Source organism: Homo sapiens, chromosome 7 (genome assembly GCF_000001405.40).
Source record: "Homo sapiens chromosome 7, GRCh38.p14 Primary Assembly".
NCBI lineage: Eukaryota > Metazoa > Chordata > Mammalia > Primates > Hominidae > Homo > Homo sapiens.
The window spans coordinates 42,960,272-42,966,271 of NC_000007.14; the positions used below are offsets into that span (position 1 = coordinate 42,960,272).

Here is a 6,000-nt window from a genome sequence, read left to right on the forward strand (position 1 = left end):
ATAAAGCTCTCAAAATAAAATCCTTTCAAATCTTTTATTACCAGATTTTAGCTACGAAAAGCAGCCAATATTTCTGGCATTTGAATTTTTTTTCCTTCAATTTTGAATGAATTTTCACTGTTTACATTTTAGTTAGAAGTGGCTGAACTGTATAAGAAAAACAAAATCTCAGTACTAGTAACTTAATAATAGCAGATACAAAGTAGGCAGAAAAGAAAAGAAATAAAGAAAGATAAGGGTCCAAATATAAATGCTACACACTCACACAGTCACAATTTCAAATGGCGCTCTCCCAAACAAAGTCCCCGCTCAAGGGGCTGGGTAAAGAGTCTGGAAACCTCCTCCATCCTGATCACAAATGGCTCCAAGAGCAGCTGAGTCCAAACAGAGCAAAGCTCCAGTGGCATCACAAACACAAATGGTGTGCATGCCCAAACTGTGTTGTGAGCACCTAATTCTAAGCAGAGCAGAGTCCAAGCAATACCACCCAAAAAGACAGAGCTAAGCTGGGTGCACACCAGCTGCCTCATCCAATTTCCAAAGTGTGTCGACTTACTCAGAGGTCACTTTCTTTGTACCAGTGAAGTGTAGAAGCCAGCCAGTGCCATGGCAGAAAGAGCAGGGAGGTTCCCCAGGACAAAACTGTCAGTTTCAGGGAAATTCCCCAGGGTTTTGGCCATAATGTCAGCTAGCTATAAGCAGCTGGTGCTCACAGGCAGCCCCCTGGCCCATTTGGTAGCATGAAGCCAGACTGACAGACTAGGATCACCCAGAATGCACAGCTTCCCTGTACAGGACACCAAAAATTGTAACTGAATGCAGATTTGGCCGTTTGTCACTTGCAGAATCAAGTAACAAGGACAAGGTGTGATAGAAAGAAAGTGAAGTGACTTTATGTTCCAATATTGACAGTGGGAAGTAGTTCAGGCTCCTGCCTTGATGAAACCACTTTAAAATTCTCAGGCAAAACACTAGAGCTTGAGAAGGGGAAGTTTGGTATGGAGGAAATGCGGGAGTTGGGGGTGGCAAGGTGGTGTGGGTCTATATGACTTGTTCTGATGACTTATCTTGAGTTATTGCTCCAACTTGTGAATGAGCTGGTGCCATCTCGGGCTTGACTGGGTTGTAAATTAGCTGCAGGCTTGAAGTAATCTCCTGGTGGGGGATAATTCCATAGGCACCTGGATTGTCTCAAGATTCAATCTCTGGAACTTCTAAGCAAGCATAATTAGATAAGCTAGCAATGCAAGGGAGTGCCTTGTGGAAAGAAGGAGAGTAAAGGATATTATTTTATTACTAAAAAGTTAATAGAAAAGGACTGAAGAAGGAAGAGGAAAAAAACCTTAAAAATAGGGTACTCAGTTATAAGAAAACTCAACTTCAGTATCATATAACACAAATTTAAGATGGGTTTATCTGGCTTATTCCCTCCCGTCAGCTCAGCTACGTTGTCTATGTTGGGACCAGAGAAATTACATTAAAGATAACTGGCCTAATTGCACCAGAAATATGGGATGGATACCCAAAGAACAGTGTTTCAACACCATTACATTACAAAATACTGATTGGCCTGCCACTGAATAGATACAACAACTGAGTATTTCTTGGTTAGCTTCAAATGGAAAGTTTTGGTCATGTGGCACTAATCTATGGACATGGCTACTCCCAGGATGGCTAGGACAATGTTCCTTGGGTTATGCTTGGGCACAAGGTCAAATAGTTCATTCCCTATCAAAACCTGCAAATTTTCCTCATTTATAATCCTGCTGGGCTTTTTCTGTGTTCCATTGGTATGATCATTTAGCTTCCATCTTCATCCCACAACTGGGTATTTGAGAATGTTATTTGGCATGTAGAGGCCCCGATCAATTATACACTACAGGCTCTAAATGATAGCCACATCAGTACTTTGTTATTAAACAATGAAGTTGCTATTACAAGAAAGGCTGTATGGCACAACAAGTTTTAGACACACCCACTGCAGCCCAAGGTACCATCATAAAAACTGAATGTTGTGTCTCTATACTAGATGAGTCTAATAACATCAATAAATGAATGGCTGATATGAAAACCTCAATAACCAACTTTTCAGATCCCAAATCTTCTCTAAGTGACTAGCTAAGTAGATGGTTTGGATCTTGGGTAACTTAACAGCAAAAGCTGTTACTTATTCTAGGAATTGTAATTGCATATTGTGTTTTGTTCTGGTTTTGTCTACACTGTTGTTACAGCATTTGTTTAAAATGGAGTCAACTTGTGACTGAAAAGACTAAAATAATGGTCCCCCAAATAGTTGCATAAATTGAAGATATAGCTATTTAGCCTAACACACAAAATCACTTTCTTTATGCTGACTTAAATTCAGCCTATACTACATCAGCTTACAGCTGGTTTAATCATCCTTTGCTAGGGGACATGACATCCTAGGAGTGTGCCTTCCTAGTGACATGGGATCAAAATTTCTCAACATAAAAGGAGTCCAACCATTAAATTCATCTATGATGGTTTCTTCAAAAAGTTCTTGAAGAACTTTCTTCCAAAAAGAAGAAAAATGTAAAAATAAGTAATCCAAATTGAAGGTATTGGAACTCTAAAATTATTTTGAACCTTAAAGGAATGTGATTATGGGCCTGCATCACATAACAGACAGCTGTAACCTTTGTTTCTCTGATTATAGATTAAGCCTCCTTCCTTACCTGTATTGTTTTGTGTTAATAAAATGACATGAATGACAGAAGGGCACCAAGGAAGACCCCTTCCTTCTCCTCTGTTGATCTTCATTGTAGATTAACCTCCCTCTCACCTTTCTCACACAAAGACTTCATGACTACCACATTGTCTTAAGATGGAATGTTAAACATACTCTTTTAAATTGGAAAGGAAATGAAAATCAGCTATGAATAAAACAAGCCATACAGAAAAGAAAACAAACTCTAACTAATTAATTTGTTATAACTCTTAAACCAGTATATAGGAAATATAATCCTGTTAAATTTCTTTGTCTTCTTCCTATATAAGCAAAAACTTAACTTTTAACTTCAGAGCACTGATCCTATTTCTCTGAAATCTGTGTGTCCCAGAATGGCCATTCCCAGCTTTCTTCTTGATTAAACTCTTTAAAACTAGATTTTGACCCTTCTTATTATCTCATATTGACACAATCCCTCTTTATGACAGAACAACACAGAAAGACAAAGACAAAAGACAAGACTATTTCTGGGAGGAAAAAGACAATATGAATTTTCATACCAAAAAGTACACCAGAGTTGCTACACCTAAGACTAGGCTCACAAATCCTTTTCCTCCATTAATCAAGACTTTCAACTAGGTACGGTGGCTCACTCCTATAATCCCAGCATTTTGGGAAGCTCAGGTGGGTGTATCACCTGAGGTCAGGAGTTTGAGACCAGCCTGGCCAACATGGCAAAATCGCATCTCTACTAAAACCACAAAAATTAGCACCACCACTAGGTAGTGGTGGTGCATGGCTGTAATCCCAGCTACTCGGGAGGCTGAGGCACAAGAATTGCTTAAACCTGGGAGGCAGAGGTTGCAGTGAGCCAAGATCGTACCACTGCACTCCAGCCTTGGCAAGAGAGTGAGACTCTGTCTCAAAAAAAAAAAAAAAAAAAAAAAAGACTTTGGAGAGGGAAAGGGACAGTGACTTTTACTGTCTACTGGACCAGATTGCACAAAGAGAGGCTTGGAGCCTGGCTGGTAAGAATTTCTTATCCTACGGGTTTGTTGAGTCCTGGGCTCCCTTGACTGTGGCTTCCAGAAGAGCAGAGCAGTTTTGCTATCCTGCTCACAGTGCAAAACTGTAGGGGCCAAGGGAAACTTCCCCTGCATTCTGTAAAAGTTCACTGAAAATCAACTGACAGAAGGCAGATTAATAGGAGAAAAAGCATACAAATTTATTAACATGTGGGTGAGGGAATCAAACAGTGATTACCCCAATCTCCTAATGGGGTACAGAAGCTTCTATACCCTTTTTCATAGAGGAGGAAGGATATAGGGAATGTAGCCAGTTCTTTAAAGGGTGGTAAACGATTATTAGGGAAAATGAATGGACCAGGGATACAGAAATTAACTTGTAAATGATGATTATCTTTAGAATGTGAGGTGGAGAGGCAGGCATTATCTTGTGGAAAAGTTTATCCAGGTGTGGTTACATTCTTCAACCTTCTTTTCTGCTGTAGATAATGAGGTAACAGGGAGGGAACAGGCAATTGTATTTCTTTTGGCAAGAAGCTTTCTTGGTTAGATAAGGAAATTTCAGAGACAGTCCCTCTCTCTGCTGTCGAAAGGAAGGAGAAGAGGGTTAGAGGGACCTTGATTCTGAGGCTTATTTCTGAGTCCTTTCAATTTTCTTTCTTTTTCCTTTTTATTAAGATACAGGTCTCACTATGTTGCCCAGGCTGGTCTCAAACTCCTGGGCTCTAGCAATCCTCCCGCCTCGGCCTCCCAAAGTGCCAGGACTATAGGCATGAACCACTGCACTGGGCCTCAATTTTCAAAAGCATGCAGTATGCCCAAGTGCCATATTTGGGAGAATCATTTTCTATATCCCAAACGCTTTCTATTTCTGCGTGCCTGTTTATGTATCTGTCAGGATACTGTGTTAAGCTATGGCAACAAACTAACACAAGGTCTCAGCGACTTTATACAACAAAGGTCTATGTCAGGCTCATGTTACGTGCCCTTTGCTAGTCAGCCAGGAGCTCTGTTTTGTGTCCCTGTCATCCTGACTTGGATCCTTGCTAAAGGAGCAGCCACCATCTAGAACATTTTGTAGCCTTGGCAAAGGGAAAAGAGAGAAAGGTGAATCATGCTTCCTCTTAACAATTTCACAGAAAAGTGGTGCACATCACTTACATTTTATTGGCAAGACAAAATTCAAGTGGGTGGATGTGATATTGTGAAATATATATTTGGGTTTTGTCCCCATTTCTTGGCATACAGCTCCTAAACGTGATAAGAGCTAGCTCCTGGAGTGACAAGAATGTCTTTTGTATGCTAATGAATGACTACTGTCTAGCAGCCCCTAAATAGCTTCAGGACGGGGACTGGTCATGGGAGAGACCTAGGCATGATTAGAGAGTTGGGACTTTCAGCCCCATCCTGTAGTCTCCTGGGAGGGGAGAAAGGCTGAAGGTAGAGTTGACACCTATGGGCATTAATGTAATCAATCATGCCTATGTAATGAAGCCTCCATAAAAACCCAAAACGACTGGGTTTGGGGAGCTTCCACATAGGTGAACACATGGAGGTGCCTGGAGGAGACAGAGAGGACATGAAATTGCTTCATGTGGGGTAAGAATTGCTTCATGTGGGGAAAACCCCTGTACAACTGGTGGCAGAAGTGTTGCACTGAGTGACTGAGAGTAGAGAGCAGGGAAAACACTGTTATTTTTCTATCCTATAGCAGAGAAGTGCACTCTTGCCATTGTCTGGAGGGAGAGAATCATCTAAATGGCCACTGCAGGGATCTGCTCTGGGAACATCTCCATAGCAGGACATAGAGATCATCCTTATTCCGGTTAAATGTCAGAAGAGAGGGTAGCACTCCACTGTGTGAATGTTTATCCAACCAGTGTCCAAATGATGGGCACTGGGCATAAATCATTTTGCATTTCTCTTTTTTTTTTTCTTTTTTTTCAGACGGGGTTTCACTCTTGTTGCACAGGCTGGAGTGCAATGGTGTGATCTCAGGCTACCGCAACCTCCGCCTCCCTGGTTCAAGCGATTCTCCTGCGTCAGCCTCCGGAGTAGCTGGGATTACAAGCATGTGCCACCACGCCCAGCTAATTTTGTAGTTTTGGTAGAGACAGGGTTTCCCCATGTTGGTCAGGCTGGTCTCGAACTCCTGACCTCAGGTGATCCTCCCACCTTGGCCTCCCAAAGTGCTGGGATTACAGGTGTGAGCCACCACACCTGGCCTTCATTTTTCATTTTCCTGAGTGTATCTTTGTCTATTTTTAAATTTTTCTGGTATTTTTA

At 41.4% G+C, this 6,000-nt stretch overlaps 2 annotated features.

The window, feature by feature from the left end:
* Positions 354-473: an enhancer, noted in NCBI's record as "active region_25906". NCBI's record gives its function as "activates an Ori minimal core promoter by ATAC-STARR-seq in GM12878 lymphoblastoid cells {active_cell/tissue: GM12878}" and the evidence as "EXISTENCE:reporter gene assay evidence [ECO:0000049][PMID:35858748]".
* Positions 5,064-5,123: an enhancer, noted in NCBI's record as "active region_25907". NCBI's record gives its function as "activates an Ori minimal core promoter by ATAC-STARR-seq in GM12878 lymphoblastoid cells {active_cell/tissue: GM12878}" and the evidence as "EXISTENCE:reporter gene assay evidence [ECO:0000049][PMID:35858748]".